Source organism: Homo sapiens, chromosome 12, assembly GCF_000001405.40.
Source record: "Homo sapiens chromosome 12, GRCh38.p14 Primary Assembly".
Classification (NCBI taxonomy): domain Eukaryota; kingdom Metazoa; phylum Chordata; class Mammalia; order Primates; family Hominidae; genus Homo; species Homo sapiens.
The window spans coordinates 10,726,024-10,749,743 of NC_000012.12; the positions used below are offsets into that span (position 1 = coordinate 10,726,024).

At 39.6% G+C, this 23,720-nt stretch overlaps 1 long non-coding RNA gene across 1 annotated transcript, besides 1 other annotated feature; it reads right to left on the reverse strand.

Annotated features, from left to right (window-relative positions):
* Positions 1-168: 168 nt before the first annotated feature.
* On the reverse strand, positions 169-15,300 carry LOC112268104 (uncharacterized). Its single transcript, XR_002957443.2, has 4 exons — positions 15,198-15,300; positions 6,948-7,049; positions 4,995-5,149; positions 169-256 (listed from the first exon to the last, which is right to left on the reverse strand). It is a non-coding gene; the product is annotated as an uncharacterized LOC112268104 (long non-coding RNA).
* Positions 14,246-14,395: an enhancer, noted in NCBI's record as "active region_5963". NCBI's record gives its function as "activates an Ori minimal core promoter by ATAC-STARR-seq in GM12878 lymphoblastoid cells {active_cell/tissue: GM12878}" and the evidence as "EXISTENCE:reporter gene assay evidence [ECO:0000049][PMID:35858748]".
* Positions 15,301-23,720: the final 8,420 nt, after the last annotated feature.

The following is a 23,720-nucleotide window of genomic DNA, read 5'->3' on the forward strand; positions in this document are numbered from 1 at the left end:
TCAGCAACACCGATGCAGTAAGTCCTCAAGAAGTTCATCTGGAAGCAGCTTTGATGCCGATGCATCTTTCTATAACTGACTCTGGTATATAATGGTCTTCTCTTCTTCCTTCTAAACTTTGAGCGAAAGGCTCTCATTGTTAGATTCCAACTTGGAAATATACAGGCCGGGAGGGAGATTCTGGGAAATGTAGTCTCTGCATTTGAAGAAGCTAAAGTTGATGCTAAATTGACAGGAGGCTATCCAGCATATCACCCTAAGGAAGAAAATGCAATTAATTGACTAAGGAGATTGAGGAGAATTCAAGTTATTCAAGGGACTGGAGCTTAAAATAAGGAAGCTTTGTGTATTAGCATATTTGAAACTGGAAAACAGTGAAGTATTAATCTCAACTTAATTGATACAAAAAAGAACATGAGGGAAATGGTCAGTTTGGAACAAAAAAGTGCAAGAATAAGAGAGTAAAGGTATTTCAGGATGTCTCCAGCAATGTTCAGGGGGAGAGTGGACCTTGGTTATCACGCTCTGTTTGGCACTCAGTAGTAATGCATTCAGCACATTTATTAATCATTGCAATTTGGTGCTAAGAACATCATGCAAAACAGGCAGGAATGCCCCTGTATTGAATGAATTAATGGTATAGACCCATACTGTCCCATTGGAAATATAATTTGAGCCCCAAATGTGAACCAAATATTTAATTTTAAATTTTCAAGCAGCCACAATAAAACAGTAAAAAACAGATGAAATTAATTTTAATAGATTTTACCTAACTTAATCAATATAAAATATATATTATTTCCACATTTAATCAAGGGTAAAACCATGAATGATGTATTCTACATTCCTCTTTTTTTTTTTTTTTGGTACTATCTTCAAAGTGTGTATCTTACACTTCTAAGACATCTCAATTTGAACTCACATTTAAAGAGTTCGGTGTGGCTGATGACTACCATATTGAGTAGCACAAGCCTTCTAGACAATTAGAAGTTTAACCTGAATAATTCTTCAGGATTCCATTGGGAAAAAGTCCTGGGCCTGAAAGCTGGACCATACATCAGTCTGTGGCTACCCAGCAAGATAATGCTACCTGTTGGGCTGGTTTGAGCTTCCTTTGTGACATATAATATCCAAAGAATTTACATGAACCATAATGCCATAATTCTGAATAACTCTATAATGATGTCACTGATGATCTCTAGGGCATGTAAACAAAGTGAATTTACAATATCCATTCCCTGTCACCACTGCCTTTATGGACTATGCTTCTTCTTTAACTTTCACATATATTGGCCTACCATAATGAAGATGTATTATAGGATTTCTTCCTTTTCATTAAGAGAACTGAGAATATGGTGGGGAATTGGCTGTGACTTTACTCTCCCCTATGGGAAGCTGGATTTAGAGTTCAGAAAATGTTGCACCTCTAGACCTGAAATTATTAAGCAGGAGGAAAAAAAAAAACAAGCGATTACTGAGAAGTTTTGAAAAACCTGATTATTTCAGCATATATTGATTTTATATAAAAGTTCCAGCTTCTAAGTGACTTTGTTGCATTTGTTTTGCTTCTACTTATTTTCTTAACTATTTAGATGTGTTCTTAGTGTTTAAAGACTAGGAGATTGGTACAGTTTTGGTGGAAGAACTTGACAAGATTATCTGATAAGTAAGAACTAGAAAGAAATGTATCCATCTCAACCCCACTCATTTTAAAAACAAGGAATTGCAGTTCAGAGATTAACTGACTTTCTCGAACTAATTTATGTATTTAGTGGCAAAGCTAGAACCAAAACCTGAGTCTCCTTATACCCAATTCAGCGCCCTTGCCACCATAAAATTCTGATTGACAAAATGTCAATGCTGTAGCATTGAGTCCCCTCAAAAATAAAGCAAGGCAGCACTTTGGGAGGCCGAGGCGGGTGGGTCACTTGAGCCCAGGAGTTCAGGACCAGCCTGGACAGCATAGCAAAACCCCGTCTCTACAACAAACAAACAAAACAAAAACCAGCAAAAATTAGCTGTGCTGGACATGGTGGTGCATGCCTGTAGTCCCAGCTACTCAGGGCTACTCAGGAGGCTGAGGTGGGAGGATCACTTGAGCCCGGGAGGTCGAGGCTGCAGTGAACCATGATCATGCCACTGTGCTCTAGCCTGGGTGACAGAGTGAGATCCTGTCTTAAGAAAAGAAATAAAGCAAGGCTCTCTGGCCACTGAAGGTAATGTTCAGATCTTTCCAATTAGGACCTCTGGAGAGGAAACCAAACAGCTGTGTGCAATTTTATTTTACAGCATTTTGGAACGTTCTGAAACAATGAATAAAATATATTCTCTTCTTCCTAAAAAAGCTTTATTCTGTCTCTTTTTGCACATACTATTTTTTCTCTTTTTTTCTGTTTTAATCTGCTTTCTTTATTCTTTTAACTTTCTTTGTCACCTCCCTTTATGTCCTCACTTGTTTAGGAATTAAATCTCAGAGAATGTCAAGTCTAGATTCTTGTCTAGAAGATATAGTGTCTTTTATTTCTTGGTAGATATCATAATTCTTAAAAATGCACTCTCAAACAGCAAACAAAGAGGAAAAGGGACTCTCAAACAGCAAACAGAGAGGAAAATCATCCAATGTGTCTCTTCTTCAGTTTTCAAAGAATTTTTCAAAATTCTTCCTTCTCTTCTCTTTGAATTGAACTCTTCCTTTTAGTCAGACTTTCATTTGATCTCTATTAGCATCCCTAGTGGCTCACCGTAATGATCTATTTAAATACTCATCTTTTGGAGACATCTGTTTAATTGGATTTTGATGTTCCTTTAACATGGGAACTTTGGAGTAGAAATTGAGAATGAGAAAATTTGGGAGAAAGAAAACTGGTTCCTAAGAAAATTCCAAGAGAGAAAGATTTGTTAAAATTCCATCCAAGTTTTAACTTCCAAATGATAAGGTAATTATATATATATATATATATATATATATATATATATATATGTTCAAAAAAATGCATGTGCACATGCACACACACACACACAGACGACCACAAAATAGTAGTATTTGCTAATGTATATCTGAATATGTATTTATTTTGACATTATGGACTAAATATAAACAAGAAGTATAATATCTGCTTCTTTCAAGGGTTTAGATCTCCAGAAATTTTACTGTACTGTGAGCAAAATATTTCTAGTTTTTTATTTTCTTTTATTTTGCTTTTGCCAAATCCCTTGCATCCATCACTGTTGGTCTTTTCGTAAGCGTGGCATGGTAGGGAGCAGAATTTTAGCAAAAACGAGTATTATGATGGGATAACTATTTGTTTGGGGTGCTATAGAAAAATACCTTAGACTGGGTACTTTCTAAACAACAGAAATGCATTGCTTAAAGTTTTGGAGGCTGGGAAGTTGCAGATCAAGGCACCAGCAGGTTTGGTGTCTGGTGAAGGCCTGTTCTTCATAGATGTTGCCTTCAGTGGGTCCTTACATGGTGGAAGGACAAAAAGGCTAACAAGCTCCCTTGGGTCTCTTTTGGGTGCCAATCCTATTGGTGAGGTCCTGTGCTCATGACCTAAATGCCCCCAAAAGGTCCCATCTCCTAATGCCATCGCTTTGGTGATTAGGCTTCAACATATGAATTGTGGAGAGACACAAACATTCAGACCATGGAACCTATGTCTTTACTAGCATGTATTTTACTACCATTTCCATTTATAGATCAGCTTGCTGCAAATTTCCAGAAACACATCAACCTAATGATATTTTACTTTAAATCATAAAATATAGTTTTAAAATAGTTTTAGTAAAATAATTTTTATTCTATTGTATTCTTTTTTTGCAACCTGCAGTGATTTGCAACATTAACTCTCAAGCCAGCTTTTTCTTCTCTTTGACTTTTTATTAAATTTAAGATGAAAAAGAGTAATCAATAATAGAATGGTTTTATTAATAAAGACAGATCAATTTTACAGTTTTTCAAGATAAATGTTTTAGAGTTTGAAGCTATACTACTCTAGAAGTACCCACAGTGAAATTTTACATGGAAAATTAAGAAACAAAACTAGGAGTCTTGAAATATCAAAGGGATAAACTTAAATTCAGGTAGGTTAATTTGTAAAAACAAGATTGCAAGGATCAGCTGGAATGGTTTGGTTTGTTTTCTGAGGGGGTTACTTTTTTTGTTGTTGGTGAGTTGAGTGATGATTTATATATATATATATATTATTATTATTTTGGGGGCCATCCTAAAAAAAACGCACTAAGCTAAAAACCTGTATGTTAGAATAGAAGACAATATTAAAAAGTATGTTCCAGTAAAGACACGTACTGTTTGGCTATGGCTACTCCCATTCTCCTGTATGTCAATTTCATGAATTTCTATTCAAATTCAGGATTCATAACCTATAACTACCATGAAATATAAAATATTTCCCCAAAGTATGGAACCTGATGTCTAAAAGGACCCATTAGGCATACTGGGGCCTAAGAAAATAAAAGAATGCCATTTTATTTGAATTGCACTGATGTGTATAACTAGCTATTTTAATGTATCTAATAAGTGTAAAACAGAAGAACAGAAGTTAAATTGTACCAAGAAGGAACTTGGTTTGGTAGCATCAAAATGTGAGAGGGTGAGAAATTCCATCATGTGACAAAATGACTTTGAGGTATCCCTTTGAGGTAGCTACAATCTTTGTGGGCAGGGAGTTGATTAATGGTTGGATGTAGTCTGGGCTGTCTGTGAAAAGGCCATTAAAATATACTCAATTAGGACTTGACTGTCCAGATTTGACAGGAGTAGGAATCTGCTATGGAGGGTTATCCACACTCCACTGCATCACTCAACTCTTCTTTATAGATTAGGAAATAAGATTCACTATGAAGGCTCAGCAGGTATAACTGGGCACACCTTATTCTTGGTTTCCAATCTCAGTGTATTCTGGTCCTTCAAGATTAGTTGGCACTTTCCTGACCTTTATTATGGCTGGAACTCTTAAGCAAGCCGTACATACCTGCAGAAATAGGCCACAGTGCTGTTTGAGTTAGAAGTCTGTCGAGAAAAAGCTGGATTGGGGTTACTGATGCCTTTTGCTCCACATGGGGACCAACGCCTGTTGAGAGTAAATTTGGTAATCAGAGGATCCCTCTCATTTCCTGCAAACAAAAACTGGAAAGAAGAGACAAAAATATCTTATGAGTAGAGACTCTTATAATTTCATTTGTCCTTAACTCTCAGTCCAGTTCATTTTTCTTTTTTACTTTTTTATTTTCTTTACAGACAGGGTCTCGCTCTGTCACCCAGGCTGGAATGAAGTGGCACCGTCATAACTCACTGCAAACTGCATTTTCCAGGCTTAAGAGATCCTGCCTCTCCTGCCTCAACCTCCTGAGTAGCTGGGAATACAACCATGTTGCTATGTTGCTCAAACTCCTGGCCTCAAGTGATCCTCCTACCTCAGCCTCCTGCCTCAGCCTCCCAAACTGCTGGATTACAGGCTTGAGCCACAACACTTGGCCAGTTCATTTTTTTAATCCATCAACTTCTCAGGCCTTTCTCTGGTTTGTTGTATTCTGTGGTTTTGAAGGTGGCACAATTACTTGAATATGAACAGGAAGCACTCTTCATCTGGTACCTACCATGGTCTGCGTACTAAACGGGGACCTTGTATTTATCATTTCTAATCTTTACACCAGCTCAGCAAGTTTGGTGTTATCATAATTTTACAGATGAGGAAACCAAAACTCAGAATGGTTACTAGATTTGCTTAAGATCATAAAGCTAGTAGGTCATAAAATAGGGATTCAAACTGAGACTCATCAGGGTCCAAAGTCAGGACCATCTCCTCAACTCTATACTGACATTCATTCCTCTTGTCCTTATCCATGCGGATTATGTGAGACTATCAGTTCTGGAAAGTAATTAAGTACACGTTCAGAGAGGCGAGTTTGTTTAAAAATTATAGGGGAAGCTACATCATTATACGCTTACCTTAATCCTCCTGTCTCCCTCCATCTCTGTCAAGCTCCGAGGCTCAGAAATATGGAGGCAAAGAGTGGAGGGGAAAGGATGTGTGTGGAGTGAGACAAGTGACAAGGCTAGGGCTGTTTTTCTATTTTTATATACATTGATTTTTTATGTGTATATTTTTTCTTGTTTCTATCTTACATACAAGCTAGAATTAACATAAATTTCCCCTTCTGCTATGCTACCCCAACTCCATTTAAATTTCCAACTTGATTATGTAAATTAAATTGCATGTTATTTATGTTGCAATAGAAGAGTCAGAGAGAATTCTGACTAACTGGATTTGTTTCCGTGATTTTCTTTTTCCTTATTCCAGAAAGCTAAGTTTTTGGCAGTTGGTAGTTTGCAGGACTGAAAGCAGAAGCTGCTTCCAGAAGACCCCCCCACCCAACCGCCCTCTTAATTTTGTGAGAATCCAAGCCCACTGGAGAAATTATGCCAGGAAATTCAGAGTGGAAGGGGAAAAGAGTTAGTGTCTGAAGGAAGATATGCGAAAGCAGAATTCAGGTTAAGAAGAGTCTCAAGCCTGGGGAAAAAACAGTAAGCTCCTCTGTGTAACTGGGACTGTGGCTGTTCCCTCTGGTGCTGCCTGGAAGGACTTTGAAATGTGGAGGATATCTTCATAGTAGGCACATTTGAGTAGCACCCTGTTCCTCAAGGCTCTCAATTCTAGCAAAGATTCCCATGAACACTGTGGTGCAGAGCCACAGAACCACTGGACTTGGGCATTCCTGCAAGCTGGACAGCGTTCATCTCAGCAGTAAGTGGTCAGAATCTAGATTAAAGACTAAACAGCATGCTCTATTGAAGATGGGATGGACGTGACGAGGAGGGGATGGATTTGGGATGGATTCCCCCAAACAAAATTAATTTTAAGTGAAAGAAAATAATGTCGGCTGATTTTTTTTTTTTTTTTTTGTCTCCGACATCCATTCTTTACCATTTTTCTCCCTGCTCTGTGCCCCAGAGAATGAACCACTTTGAACAGCTTCTACAGGCTTCTTTGCTCTGGCTTCCAGCTGGGTCCAATCATTGGAGGGCACTGCAGAAGAAGAGAATGGAGTGACTTGGGATATTTATTTCCAAGGATCCCTCTCTTCAGAGTCCCTTTCCTGAAGGCAGCAAATACCGTCTGGCGGCCCCGTCTAGTCTGGGTTGGGTTCTGGAAACAATTTCCTCTCTGCACTCTCAAACCCTAGGATCTTTATAAGCTTCCCTGAGGGTGCTTCACCATTCCTGGTTGATTTCCCCTAATCCTACCTACACATTTTACGGTATTTTGTTGTCGTTGTTGTTAAAAATCTCAATTAATTGCCTTTTATCATGCTTTTTCCTGCCAGGGCCCTGACTGATACATGATATGACTTTTTTTCCCACCACACCCAAATATGTGGACTACGATTCATGTCTCTTATATATGCCTTCCCCCCGGCCCCCCTGCCACTGGAATTACCAAAGTATTTGTGTGGTCCATATCGGAGCCATGGGTAGATTACAACTCTTAACACTGAAGCCAAATCATTTTGAAATTTTAGCACCGAAAGTCCCACATCCTGGGAAATGCCTTAGTCCCAGGCAAACTGGATGACTGGTCAGCCTAGCTGTGACTCTGGTATAGATTTGGGTGTGCACTTTCACAAGTCCCTAGTGATATGTGTCTAGCAGACCATGGTGAGACTGTTTGAAAGTTACTACACAATTACACATATAAGATTGTCCAGCAGAAGATAAAGAAATTAAATGAGGGTAAATACAATCCTGTTCTGGTGTTTAGCATTACCTGGAGAGTACTTTTTGGGGGCCTGACTATAAGACCATCATTTCAGAATGGACTGTTAAAAATTAAACTTCTGCTCTAAGGTGGTGGCGTTATGTTTTCAGAATCCTGGGCACAAGGCAAACATCATTTCCTCAAACTTGGACATGCCATCTGACACATGGTTTAACATGATGGGACAGATGACAGAACCTGGAAATGCCACTTAGATTAAGTTGGAGATGATTACCTACCAGAAACCGAGAGTGTTTTTAGGAGACACAATTTCCATCCCAAGAGAGAAGACATTTCTATCTTGATTAAGGCTCAATAATGAGGTTGCAGGTAGCTGAGAAAGGAAGATGACCTCTGGAACTTCTGGGGATGTCAACCTCAGGAAGCCACTACTGCTCTCAAGTCATGTGTTTCTGAGACTAGTTCAAGATACTTGACAGCTGGTTCTGGGTTCTTAAAACCAGAGAAGATTGTAGGTAAACATCCCAAATGTTGCCAGAAAGCTCGGGGAAGCTGACTATATTCATAGTAAGGTTAGCTGGCCCATTCAGCCCTGGTATGGGCAGGAGCAAAGCTGAGCGTCCTTCTGTCTGCAAAGCCTAATCTGACTGTACTCAATCCCTTTGCCAAACTTCTCTCAACTAGTGAATCTGGTAAAAGAAACTGTTTCCTTCCATAGCAGGAGACAGGGTGCAGGCAAATAGATCCTTTTCTGTGGATTGGCCCAAGGCCCAGGAGAGAGTTGATGGGGAATTAAGGTGGCAATTAAAATGTCTGAATGCTACTTTTCAAAGTTTTAGGTAACTGGGGCCCCTGCATATCCACACTGGATACGCTTCTCTCGTTCTCACCAGAGAATCAACTTCTGTGAATGCTTGGATGCTGCTGGTACCCCCACTGAATTGTCACAGACTTTAACCTACCATTAATGTGGTGGCCTGAGGCACCTGGAGAGAGCCTGGGACCTCAAAGAGACTGGCCCCATAGCGACACTAGCTCTACCAGTATCATTTTGAAATTTTAGCACCGAAAGTCCCACATCCTGGGAAATGCCTTAGTCCCAGGCAAAATGGATGACTGGATAATGGAGATTTGAAGTCATATGTCCTGGGTTTCAGTTTTACAAGCTGTGCAACTTTGGAAAAATTTCCATTTCTTTTCTTCAGTTTCTTCATCAGTAAAATGAAATAATAATGATAGTACCTCTTGCCGAGCATGGTGCCTTATGCCTGTAATTTCAATACTTTGGGAGGCTGAGGTGGGAGGATCACTTGAAGCCAAGAAATTTGAGAGCAGCCTGGGCAACATAATAGAACCCTGACTCTACAAAATAAAGAAGAAAAGAAATTCGCTGTGCAGTGACGCACATCTGTAGTCCTAGCTACTCGGGAGGCTGAGGCAGGAAGATCACTTGAGCCTAGGAGTTCAAGGCTGCAGTGAGCTTTGATGGCACCACTAGACTCCAGTGTCAGTGACAGAGCAAGACCCCAGCTCTTAAAAAATAGTAAGGTTGTTGTGATAATTAAATGAGACAAAGTGCATAAAGTGCTTAGAATAATACTTGTCACAACCAAAATACCCAGTAAATGTGTGCTTATCCTCATCATCAGAAGGGACACATTTATAAGATAGGTGTTTAGAGTTTAGGGGTGTGCAATCACCCTTCTTTTATTGTGCTTTTGAGGAAAATTTATGTGCTCACAACTAACCACACAATTAGTGCTTTGATGAAAAAGCTGAGTGTGTTTTGGGGTTCTTTAAGAGGGGGAGTTCCAGTGGGGCCACTCTTGTCTCAGTAGAAGCCACATGCAATTGACACCTCTTTTGCTTGACTCACACACTGTGCTTAGGAACTGGGAAAAGTGAACCAGCTCTTACCAGGTACTTTCTCTCTTACAGAGAACTGGTTGTGCTTGGGAAAGATTTTTAGACAATAATAAACTGGAAATTTGAGAGAGGAAAGTACAGTCTAAACCTTCACCTGGTAATGGATGAAGAGCAAGGAGAGTGGGACCACCCTCTCATTCTTTTCCCAAACATGGATGGATGTGAGCAGGGGACTATGACCCAAGGGTCAGGGGGAAAGGAGAAATGGAATGGCTTCAAGGATGAAGAGGCTTGACTGAAGATTTGGTTTGAATGAGTAACTCACTGTTTCCCACCAATTAAAAAAACCTCATATCTCTGTGTAAGCCCCACATGGCTACTCCATTATCTGAGACTCCAAGTTCTCTGAGACTAATAAAGACTCTGAGTAGCCCTCTCAATAAGTGGATTTGGAACTGTTCTGGAAGAAAGAAAAATTTCCAAGAAGACTCAGTTTCTGAAAGGCACAGGCAAGAAATGTCCCCTGTGCTCAGCTCACATATTCAGCTCTTGAGGAACTCGGGGAACTTATCGCCCCTCCATCCAGCCACTGATTTTTCTGATGGTTCCTGTCTTTGAAACATCTCTCATTCAGGCTAAAAAAAATGGTTTCTTTTTGTATGCTGTGAAGAGGACAACAAAATAGGTGTAAATTTTCTTTATAGAGATATGTGAATTGATTATGAAAATGGGGTAGAACAACACTGAAATATAATATTAAATTATATCTTTTTGTCAGCCTGGTTGAGTGACAGGTTGGATTTGATTTAATTTCATTTAAAGAAAATAAAATAATTTGACAATTCATGGATATCTCATTTTGTAAAGATTCATGTCCTCATTATTTTCTTGAAACCATATCAAGTTCTGTAATAAGTGTAGATGTCTTGGTGACAGTTAATTTAGTATCTACCACGTGTTAAGCCCCACACTACAGAGCTAATTCTAACTAGTTAATATGTACACCCAGCCAGCTGATCACAAGAAGATTAGTTTACAGGTCATGAGTCATCAGTGTAACTCCAAAAATTTGCCTTTCTTATGTGCATATCTTAAAAAAGAGACAGGTATTAACAGTGTCCACTGTCTCAAGGCTGATTTCCTATTACTTCCTTCTGCCTCTACAGTGTCCCTGGGGAAATACTTTCTTTTACCATTTTTAAATTTTTTCATTCAATTTTTTAAACAGAGGGAGGGATATGCGCTATTGTGAAAAGCTTAAAAAGTAAAGAGTTTGGCTGGGCGCAGTGGCTCACGCCTGTAATCCCAGCACTTTGGGAGGCCGAGGTGGGTGGATCATGAGGTCAGCAGTTTGAGACCAGCCTGGCCAACATGGTGAAACCCCGTCTCTACTAAAAATACAAAATTAGCTGGGCGTGGTGGCACACGCCTGTAATCCCGGCCACTCGGGAGGCTGAGGCAGAAGAATCGCTTGAACCCAGGAGGCAGAGGTTGCAGTGAGAAGAGATTGTGCCACTGCACTCCAGCCTGGGTGACAGAGTGAGACTCTGTCTCAAAAAAAAAAAAAAAAAAGTAAAGAGTTTATAAAAAGTGAAAATCTTCCTTTCAAAGCCTTTCTCCAAATCCCACTCACCAGAGATAACCACTATTAAAAGTTTGTTTAACATAATTAGGAACAGTAATGACTTATAGGCCATTGAAAATATAGGAGGCTAGAGAGTCATGGTGATTAAAAAAATAAACAAATAAATGGAGAGAAGAGAGGACTCTTGCTTGAGAACAAAATGCTGAGTAAGTACTGACTGGTGAATGTGAAAGGCAAACTGAGTTGTAAATCATCATTCAGCAACCATCGTGGCACTGACTGGATCAAGGTAAGACTCATCAACTTACACTAAATCAAGGAAGAAAATTTGATGAGGAGCAGGATATCTCCATGGGTTCAAAGTATCTCCCCACAGATTTCTTATTAGTTGGAAGAGAAAAAATAATAATTACATATTGGAGAAACTGAAGAATACCCTGACTAGGTAGGTGATCAAAATTAACACCATCAATGAGTGGTAGATGGACATTGTGTGTCTCTAGATGAGGTGTCCTGTGAGGATACAATATCACCTACGTAGGATTCCAGCTGTGAATGCATAACCTGACTTTAATAATGAGGAAATATTGAACAAAACCCAAATGAGGAATGCTGTATTAACATAAGGGGGGGTCTATATTCTTAAAAAACGCCAATGTTATAAAAGACAAAAGATGCTGAAAATATAGTCAAGATTAGAGGAGGCTAAAAAGGCATGACAACTAAATGCAGTAGTAAATTGGACCTGTGAGCTGGAAGATGAAAAAAATCTATAAAAGATACTCTTGGGTCAATTGACAAAACTGGAATTCAGATAGTAGATTAAAGCATGATGTTTAACACTATGATATAATGTGGAATTTATTTAAGTTGACACCTGTACTGTAGTTATGTAAGAGATGATTATGATTGTTAGGAAATACATCCTGAAAAGTTTGGGGTAAAGGACCATGATTTATATAACTTACCCTCAAATGGTTCAGGCAGAAAAAGAGAGATAATAAAGCAAATGGTGCAAAATTTTAATAAGTGAATCTGAGTAAAAGGCATGTATTTCATTATTTTTGTATTCCTGCTTCCAACTTTTCTGTACATTTGAAATTATTTACTAAAAAAGTTAAATATTCTAAAAGCATTTTTTTAACCTTTCAGGATTTTTCTATACATTTACAATGTTTGTGTGCATGTATATATATATAGATACTATATATTCAAATGCATTTTCTGTCATTATAAATAAAGTTTACTTTAAAAATTTATTAATCTACCAATTGCTATGATAAAACCACAGAACTGGGCACTGAAGAGGAGTTAGAGAGGTTCTTAGTGGTGCACCAAGAAGCCTAAGGCCTCAAAGTAGACAGTATGGCATCTTTGTCATTGGCTATGGTTCCTATGGTCACCTGGCAGGTTGGGGAACAGAGCAAAATAAGGATAAAGAGCATAATGTGAATATCTTACTATGTCTGAACACCCAAATCAAAATATAAAACACATTAAATATGTATGATAAATATGGGCCATTATACATTTGGCATATTTTGTCACTTATTCATCTTAATATATGTCAGATTTGTAATCCATGCAGCATCTAGCATATTGTGGAGATTTAATAAAATTTTAAGATAACTAAGAAAATAACATTATTTTATTAGGTTCTGTTGGTCAATCACAATGCTCATGACCAAAACGCAAAAGAGACATTAGTTGTAGAAAGACTCTGCTATTGATTGTGAGCCCTTCAGAATATAACCTGCTAAATTTGAGGGCTTTTTTCCCCTCTTATTATTATTTTTTGAGATAGGGTCTCTCACTGTCACCCAGGCTGGTGTGCAGTGGTGCAAACAAGGCTCATTGCAGCCTCAATTTCCTGGGCTCAAGGGATCCTCTTGCCTCAGCCTTCTAAGTAGCTGGGACCACAAGTGTGCACCATCACACCTGGCTAATTTTAAAATATTTTGTAGAGATAGAGTCTTGCCACGTTGCCCAGGCTAGTCTTTAACTTCTGGGCTCAAGGGACCTTCCTGCTTCAAGCTCCTGAAGTACTGGGATTACAGGCGTGAGCCACCACACTTGACCTTCTTTTCCCTATCTTTAAAAGGCCATAATAATGCTGATTCATTTCTCAGCAGCTCTCTGGGGAGTAACTTGTAAACAATGTCTAAGGACTTCAATAACTTACGAATGCCTTATAAAGCTAAGTTAATACTGTCAGGTGTTATGGGCTGAATGTTTGTTTCCCTTCCTCCCCAAATTTCATATGTTGAAGCCCTAACCATCAATGTGATGGTATTTGGAGATATGGCCTTTTGGAAGGAATTAGGTTCAGAGGAAGTTATGAGGATGGGGCCACCATGATGGAATTAGTATCTTTATAAGAAGAGGAAAAGACCAGAACCCTCCCTCTCCCTGCCTTGTGAGGACTCAGCGAGAAGGCAGTCATCTGCAAGCCAGGAAGAGAGCCCTCCCTGGGGTAAAAAGTGGGATGGTACCAGCAAGAAGGCAGCCATCTGCAAGCCAGGAAGAGAGCACTCACTGGGCTACCAAGTGGGATGGTACCCGCAAGAAGGCAGCCATCTGCAAGCCAGGAAGAGAGCCCTCACTGCGGTACCAAGTGGGATGGTACCTCAATCTTGGATTTCCCAGGTTCTAGAACTGTGAGAAATAAATTCTTGTCCTTTAAGTCACCCAGTTTATATTTGTTATGGCAGCCTGAGCTGACTAAGACAACCGGATATCTCTGTCACATACAACTCTGTAGTCTCAGATTGTAAAGAGTGGAGTGAGTGGGAGGTCTCAAGACTGGCTGGAGGCAGTAAAGAGCTTTAAGAAATATTGCATGTGAACATTGTGACAGTAAAGATATATACGTTACTGTTATTTATTTGGGGATGTAATTCCAGGAGCAATGCAATATGTACCAAACAGAATCAAATGAATAATGTAGCAAAATTTTGAAACACCTACCAAAAGGTAAAGTTCTTACAGAGCCCAGGAAGGTTATTTCAGGTGCTTACCTACAACTCTAGTTAACTTGGCTTGTTTGTTATCACTCCTCTGAATGATACGAAGCAAAGAGGTAATGGAATTCCCCAAGCTTGACTCAGCATGCCCTTTCTTTCCCCACCCCCCACTTTTTTTTTTCTTATTTTGAGACAAAGTCTTGCTTTGTCACCTAGGCTGGAGTACAGTGGCCTGGTTACTACTCAGTGCAGCCTTGACCTCCTGGGCTCAAGCAGTCCTTCCACCCCAGCTTCCTGAGTTGCTGGGACTATAGCAATGCATCACCACACCCTGCTATGAATAATTTTTTTTTTGTAGAGACAAGGTCTGGCTTTGTTGCCCAGACTAGTCTCAGACTCCTGGCCTCAAGCAATCCTCCTGCTTTGGCCTCCCAAAGTGCTGGAAAGGCAGGTCTTTTTCCCCTTTTATCATTTTTTCCTCTCTTTTCCAGGCTCTGGCCCTCTCTTTTCCAGGCTCTGGCCCTCTCTTCAGCAACACTAGCATCTTGTTACCCTTCTCTTACTTACATATACACAGAAGGCTGTCACCAATGAGAACTAATTTGAGTTATTCACATTAAAACTTCACCTACTATAAAATATATGCCCCAAGTAGACTGAAATTCTAACAAATAGAAACACATACATTTTAGTTAGTGTGTTTTTGTAAAGAGATTTCATAGCTTGTGAAAACTTCAATGGGTTAGCAGTGGTTGCCTGGACTGTTTCATTAAGAAGAGCTCTGGGGTCATATCTGAGCTCAGCATGAAGGAGAACGTTGACGGGTTAGTGATACCAAACATGTCCACATAGGATTAGTGGGGGCGTTCCTGTGTGGATCTTCCATCTATAGGTAAATGTATCGCCCCCTCTACAAATCCTCTTTTTACTCATGTGCTGTCACGGCTTCATATGTTTTTACAGACTGTTTCATGTGTCTGGAATACCCTTTCTTGTTTGCACACCTGAGAGCTTTCTTTTTTCAAGACTGTGTTCACACTGTACCTTTTTTCCACAGCCTCTCCCAGCTTCTCAAAGCTTCTTTTGACATTACTGATTGTGAACTTCTGGTTTCTCACCAATCTCTGCAGCACCTGAAGAGGGCCCAACTAAAAGTGAGCACCAAAAGAATGATAAGGGAGTAAATGTTCACACACAAGAAAAAACACAATCTAGTGGAGGAAAACAGAAGACAAGCAGCATCTAATATAGGAAGTTAAGCATGCAAAGAACACAAAAAAGTGACTTGCAGTATTGTAGGTATTTGGAGGCAAAGAAAAATCTGGGGATAAGGCAAAGAAGTGTGGAGGAAATGACATTTGAGTGATACTTTGACAAACATAATATTTTGGGAGAGATGGCAAGGATCATTGGCATAAAGGCAGTGTAGGTAAGGATGAAAATGTCCTCAAAAAGGCATTTATGCCATTTTATATCACTGACAGTATAATATAAACTAGTTTAATAAAACAGCCTCTGTTTAATAAAACAGCCTCTGTTGTGTTGAATAAATAGTGAGAGAAGATGAGAATCTATTTTGTGGAAGTTCAAGGTCAGATCCCACCCTCCCTCTGGGAACAAATCTAAGAGCAGAAACACTAAAGAATTATTGGAATGATGAAAGAAAAAATGGAGATAAGTTACCCAAAATAAACTTTCCTGCATCTTACATTTGCTGAATTAGGTCTGCCAACAAGGTCCTGATGGAATAATAAATAAAAGTAGTGATCATTACTTAGAAAAAAGTAAAGCTAAAGAGGGCAAGGCATGGAATATTGACAAAATGAGGAAGTTATTCTGCAATGAAACCTCTGTTTCATAACTGCCAGGGAACTTGAAATGGGAACTATAAGAGGTATAAGATAACTCAACTTTGTAGAAACATTTGTAGAAACATTTGGCTTGAAACTACTGTGGGTTTGACTTTGAATTTTTGCCTAGATGATCTTGTAGTTCTGTTTCTTTTGTTTGCAAAATAGGAATAATGATGGTTATGATGATGATGACTGAAAAAACTTTTGTAAGGATTAAGTAACCTAATTGAGTTCCTTGCACATAATAGGACCCTAAAGTAATGTATGGTGCCTTCTCTGAGTTCTAGACATTATAACATATTCTATGCACTGGGCATTTTAGTATATGTTATCTGATAGTGTTCTCAACATCACTTTTAATAGGTATTAAGAAAACCAGGATACAGTCAAACAAATGTCCTCAGAGAGTTAGGTAAATCCTCAGATTCCATATTTAGTAAATGGCAGACCTAGATCTTAAAGACTGGATGGCCTGGCAACAAAGCTGTAATAATTCCCTTATACCATGCTCCTTCACAAACATGTGACAATTTGAGCACATATTTTTTCCCTTTTCATTTTGTCTAGTACTAGCCTTGACTCCAGCTTTTGAGCTTTCACTTACCTTTGAGAGTATGTAGATGGCATTTGTGAATGCACCTATGTATTTCTTAACTCTCCAGACCACCATTGTACCAAATCGTAAATGGACCTTGAGAAGGAGGCCAGTTAAAAATTTTGCTGTATATATTTGTTTGATTTTGGTTTTTGTTACATTTGGTTGTGTTTGGTATAACTCTTTATAAACCTAGAAAAATGTCAGTTAGAAATGGTTTCTCTGTCCTGAGCTTAGAGCAAGAGTTCTTAAAGTGCAATCCCAGATCAGCAGCATTGCATCATCAGGGAATTTGCGAGAGATGCAAATTCTTGGACCATATACCCCAGACCTAGTGAATCGGAAATTTGAAGGGGAAGAAGGTGTCTGGCAGGCAGAAGTCTATGTTTTAACAAGCCCTGTAGGCAATTCTAGAGGGTACTGTAGTTTGGGAAGCACTGATGTAGGGCATAAGCAGCATGTAATTTAGCTTTTGATAATAGCTTACACTTATAATGCATTGGTAACTTTTGCCTTTCTTTTTTGCTAAGTATAATAATAAATGTTGGTTGTAAACAACTTCAGAATGTCATTTTAAAAATTCACTGACTTGCTTCTAATCAAGATATTAAATATCCTTGCTACATCTGCTTTATTATTATTATTAATTTTCCCTAGGCTAAAGTCTCTTTTTACTATTATACTTTAAGTTCTAGGGTACATGGGCACAACATGCAGGTTTGTTACATATGTAAACATGTGCCATGTTGGTTTGCTGCACCCATTAACTCATCATTTACATTAGGTATTTCTCCTAATGCTATCCCTCCCCCATCCCCCCACCCACGACAGGCCCCTCTGTGTGATGTCCTGCAACCTGTGTCCAAGTGTTCTCGTTGTTCAATTCCCATCTATGAGTGAGAACATGCAGTGTTTGCTTTTCTGTCCTTGCGATAGTTTGCTGAGAATGATGGTTCCCAGCTTCATCCATGTCCCTACAAAGGATATGAACTCATCCTTTTTTGTGGCTGCATAGTATTCCATGGTGTATATGTGCCACATTTTCTTAATCCAGTCTATCATTGATGGACATTTGGTTTGGTTCCAAGTCTTTGCTGTTATGAATAGTGCCGCAATAAACATTCGTGTGTATGTGTCTTTATAGAAGCATTATTTATAATCCTTTTGGTATATACCCAGTAATGGGATCGCTGGGTCAAATGGTAATTCTAGTTCTAGATCCTTGAGGAATTGCCACACTGTCTTCCACAATGGTTGAACCAACTTACACTCCCACCAACAGTGTAAAAGCATTCCTATTTCTCCACATCCTCTCCAGCATCTGTTGTTTCCTGACTTTTTAATGATCACCATTCTAAGTGGTGTGAGATGGTATCTCATTGTAGTTTTGATTTGCATTTCTCTGATGGCTAGTGATGATGAGCATTTTTTCATGTGTCTGTTGGCTGCATAGATGTCTTCTTTTGAGAAGTGTCTGTTCTTTGCCCACTTTTTGATGGGGTTGTTTTTTTCTTGTAAATTTGTTTGAGTTCTTTGTAGATTCTGGATATTAGCCCTTTGTCAGATGGGTACGTTGCAAAAATTTTCTCCCATTCTGTAGGTTGCCTGTTCACTCTGATGGTAGTTTCTTTTGCTGTGCAGAAGCTCTTTAGTTTGATTAGATCCCATTTGTCAATTTTGGCTTTTGTTGCCATTGCTTTTGGTATTTTAGTCATGAAGTTCTCGCCCATGCCTATGTCCTGAATGGTATTGCCTAGGTTTTCTTCTAGGGTTTTTATGGTTTAGGTCTAACATTTAAGTCTTTAATCCATCTTGAATCAATTTTTGTATAAGGTGTAAGGAAGTGATCCAGTTTCAGCTTTCTACATATGGCTAGCCAGTTTTCCCAGCACCATTTATTAAATAGGGAATCCTTTCCCCATTTCTTGTTTTTGTCAGGTTTGTCAAAGATCTGACGGTTGTAGATGTGTGTTGTTATTCCTGAGGCCCCTGTACTGTTCCATTGGTCTATCTCTCTGTTTTGGTACCACTATCATGCTGTGTTGGTTACTATAGCCTTGTAGTATAGTTTGAAGTCAGGTAGTGTGATGCCTCCAGCTTTGTTCTTTTTGCTTAGGATTGTCTTGGCAATGCAGGCTTGTTTTTTATTTCCATATGAACTTTAAAGTAGTTTTTTCCAGTCATTGGTAGCTTGATGGAGATGGCATTGAATCTATAAATTACCTTGGGCAGTATGTGCATTTTCACAATATTGATTCTTCCTATCCATGAATCTGGAATGTTCTTCCATTTGTTTGTGTCCTCTTTTATTTTGTTGAGCATTGGTTTGTAGTTCTCCTTGAAGAGGTCCTTCACATCCCTTGTAAGTTGGATTCCTAGGTATTTTATTCTCTTTGTAGCAATTGTGAATGGGAGTTTACTCGTGATTTGGCTCTCTGTTTGTCTGTTACTGGTGTATAGTAATGCTTGTGATTTTTGCACATTGATTTTGTATCCTGAGACTTTGCCGAAGTTGCTTATCAGCTTAAGGAGATTTTGGGCTGAGACAGTGGGGTTTTCTAAGTATATAATCATGCCATCTGTAAACAGGGACAATTTGACTTCCTCTTTTCCTAATTGAATACTCTTTATTTCTTTCTCTTGCCTGATTGCCCTGGCCAGAACTTCCAACACTATTTTAATAGGAGTGGTGAGAGAGGGCATGCCTGTCTTGTGCCAGTTTTCAAAGGGAATGCTTCCAGTTTTTGCACATTCAATATGATATTGGCAGTGGATTTGTCATCAATAGCTCTTATTATTTGGAGATACGTTCCATCAATATCTAACTTATTGAGAGTTTTTATCATGAAGCGCTGTTGAATTTTGTCAAAGACCTTTTCTGCATCTATTGAGATAATCATGTGCTTTTTATCTTTGGTTCTGTTTATGTGATAGATTATGTTTATTGATTTGCATATGTTGAACCAGCTTTGCATCCCAGGGACAAAGCCAACTTGATCTTGGTGGATAACCTTTTTGATGTGCTGCTGGATTCGGTTTGCCGGTATTTTATTGAGGATTTTCTCATCGATGTTCATCAGGGATATTGGCCTAAAATTCTCTTTTTTTGTTGCGTCTCTGTCAGGCTTTGGTATCAGGATGATGCCGGCCTCATAAAATGAGTTAGGGAGGATTCCTTCTTTTTCTATTGATTGGAATAGTTTCAGAAGGAATGGTACCAGCTCCTCTTTGTACCTCTAGTAGAATTTGGCTGTGAATCTGTCTGGTTCTGGACTTTTTTTGGTTGGTAGGCTATTAATTATTGCCTCAATTTCAGAGCCTGTTATTGGTCTATTCAGGGATTCAACTTCTTCCTGGTTTAGTCTTGGGAAGGTGTGTGTGTCCAGGAATTTATCCATTTCTTCTAGATTTTCTAGTTTCTTTGCGTAGAGATGTTTATAGTATTCTCTGATGGTAGTTTGTATTTCTGTGGGATCAGTGGTAATATCCCCTTTATCATTTTTTATTGCATCTATTTGATTCTTCTCTTTCTTCTTCTTTATTAGTCTTGTTACCGGCCTATCAGTTTTGTTAATCTTTTCAAAAAACCAGCTCCTGGATTCATTGATTTTTTTGAAGGGTTTTGTTGTGTCTCTATTTCCTTCAGTTCTGCTCTGATCTTAGTCATTTCTTGCCTTCTGCTAGCTTTTGAATTTCTTTGTTCTTGCTTCTCTAGTTCTTTTAATTGTGATGTTAGGGTGTCGATTTTAGATCTTTCCTGCTTTCTCTTGTGGGCATTTAGTGCTATAAATTTCCCTCTACACACTGCTTTAAATGTGTCCCAGAGATTCTTGTACATTGTGTCTTTGTTCTCATTGGTTTCAAAGAACATCTTTATTTCTGCCTTCATTTCGTTATTTACCCAGTAGTCATTCAGGAGCAGGTTGTTCAGTTTCCATGTAGTTGTGCGGTTTTGAGTGAGTTTCTTAATCCTGAGTTCTAGTGTGACTGCACTGTGGTCTGAGAGACAGTTTCTTGTGATTTCTCTTCTTTTACATGTGCTGAGGACTGCTTTACTTCCAACTATGTGGTCAATTTTGGATTAAGTGTGATGTGGTGCTGTGAAGAATGTATATTCTATTGATGTGTGGTGGAGAGTTCTGTAGATGTCTATTAGGTCTGCTTCGTGCAGAGCTGGGTTCAAGTCCTGGATATCCTTGGTAACCTTCTGTCTCGTTGATGTGTCTAATATTGACAGTGGGATGTTAAAGTCTCCCATTATTATTGTGTGGGAGTCTAAGTCTCTTTGTAGGTCTCTAAGGAGTTGCTTTATGAATCTGGGTACTCCTGCATTGGGTGCATATATATTTAAGATAGTTAGCTCTTCTTGTTGAATTGATCCCTTTACCATTATGTAACGGCTTACTTTGTCTCTTTTGATCTATGTTGGTTTAAAGTCTGTTTTATCAGAGACTAGGATTGCAACCCCTGCCTTTTTTTGTTTTCCATTTGCTTGGTAGATCTTCCTCCGTTCCTTGATTTTGAGCCTATGTGTGTCTCTGCTTGTGAGATGGGTCTCCTGAATACAGCACACCGATGGGTCTTGACTCTATCCAATTTGCCAGTCTGTGTCTTTTAATTGGAGCATTTAGCTTTGTTCTGTTGCTGGCAAGGAGCTGTGATCCTTTGGAGGAGAAGAGGTGCTCTAGTTTTTAGAATTTTCAGCTTTTCTGCTCTGGTTTCTCCCCATCTTTGTGGTTTTATCTACCTTTGGTCTTTGATGATGGTGACCTACAGATGGAGTTTTGGTGTGGATGTGGTTTTTGTTGATGTTGATGCTACTCCTTTCTTTTTGTTAGTTTTCCTTCTAACAATCAGGTCCCTCAGCTGCAGATCTGTTGGAGTTTGCTGGAGGTCCACACCTGGGTATCAACAGTGGAGGCTGTAGAACAGCAAACATTGCAGAATAGCAAATATTGCTGCCTGATCCTTCCTCTGGAAGCTTCGTCTCAGAAGGGCACTCAACTGTATGAGGTGTCAGTCGGCCCCTACTGGGAGGTGTCTCCCAGTTAGGCTACACAGGGTCAGGGACCCACTTAAGGAGGCAGTCTGTCCATTCTCAGAGCTCAAACACTGTGTAGGGAGAACCACTGGTCTCTTCAGAGCTGTCAGACAGGGACGTTTAAGTCTGCAAAGTTTCTGCTGCCTTTTGTTCATCTATGCACTGCCCCTGGAGGTGGAGTCTACAGAGGCAGGCAAGCCTCGTTGAGCTGAGGTGGGCTCCGCCTAGTTCGAGCTTCCCAGCTGCTTTGTTTACCTACTCAAGCCTCAGCAATGGCGGACACCCCTCTACCAGCCAGGCTGCCGCCTTGCCATTCAATCTTGGACAGCTGTGCTAGCAGTGAGCAAGGCTCCGTGGCCGTGGGACCCACTGAGCCAGGCACGGGATATAATCTCCTGGTATGCCATTTGCTAGGACTGTTGGAAAAGCACAGTATTCGGGTGGCAATGTCCCGATTTTCCAGGTACAGTCTGTCACGGCTTCCCTTGGCTAGGAAAGGGAATTCCCTGACTCCTTGCACTTCCCACGTGAGGCAATGCCCCGCCCTGCTTCGGCTCACCCTCCATGGGCTGCACCCACTGTCCAACCAGTCCCAGTGAGATGAACCAGGTACCTCAGTTGGAAATGCAGAAATCACCTGTCTTCTGTGTCGATCATGCTAGGAGCTGCGGACTGGAGCTGTTCCTATTCAGCTATCTTTGGATAAAGTCTTGCTCTGTCACCCAGGCTGTAGTGCAGTGGCACAATCATGGCTCACTGCAGCCTCAGCCTCCTGGGCTCAAGCAGTCTTTCCACCTCAGCCTCCAAAAATGCTGGAATTACAGGCATGAGCCACCTTGCCTGGCCCTGCTTTATTATGTGAGGACTGTTTTCCAGGAAAAAAGTACTCGTCGCAAATGGTAACATATATCAGTGACTCCATCTTGGGTCGCACTGTGTCTCCTAGGCTGGAACGCAGCGTAATGATCATAGCTCACTGCAGCCGTGAACTCTTGGGCTCAAACAAATCATTTCACCTCAGCCTCCCATGTAGTTATGTCTACAAGCTTGTGCCATTGCACCTGGCTAGTTTTTAATTTTTTTGTAGAGACAGGGTCTCGCTATGTTGCCCAGGCTGGTCTCCAACTGGTCTCCTGGATTCACAGTGATCCACCTGCCTCAGCCTCCCAAAGTGTTGGGATTATAGGCTCCACCCAGCAAGGTACATTTAAAAAAAAATTTATTCTAAAAATAGTCAGACTGAGGTATAGATGGAAATATGAATTCAGAATATTATAATTTTGGCCTATCTTTAAATATTTGGAAAAACTGTTAAAATCTGTATCCCAAATTATGGTTTTATGAGTGTTATTACCATAGATACAGGGGGAAATGTGGACATGCCAAATGGTTTAGAATTTCATCCTGATCATCCAGGAAATGAATTATTTCTTTTTAACTTCTCAAAAAGACATTTAGCCAGTCATAACATATGTCTCCTGGGGTGTCTGTGTTTTTCAGTACATACTGCTTTGATAATCATCACCCTTGTTTATGTTTAGCTGCTTGACAGCTGTTGCCAGGCCATATTGAATTCTCTTTCTCAGAGGTTAGGAGCCAAAATTCACAGATATAAGTCAGTCTCTGATAGTCACTTAAGCTGAGGATGTGGGAATTCAGGAGCTGTCGGGTCTAGAGAGGAGAAAGTCAGCCAATAGAAAGAGGCAATAGTCCAAAGATATCAAGAAAACCATGGACTAGAGAATGTGGAAAGAAAAAAGTTTGAACAACTGTGTAATTCTTATAGTTTTCCAGTTGTTGATTCTAATCTCCTGTATCACTTAAAGAAACTTCTTGTTTTCTTTGAAATGACCCGTAATTACACTGAAAAGCCATCTTTTTCCTCCCTTTAACTCAATTTGAAGAGAATTCTGTTATTTCTAATTCAACACACCTTAACGTGACATTCAATGAAGAAATGTTCCTGCCCCATTTAAGCATTAGGGAAGAAAAGTCAGTGACCCTGATATAAACACTAAAATTGAAACTGCTGTAGCTATACAATCATTATTTAATAGTGGCTTAAAGAGTTACTAATA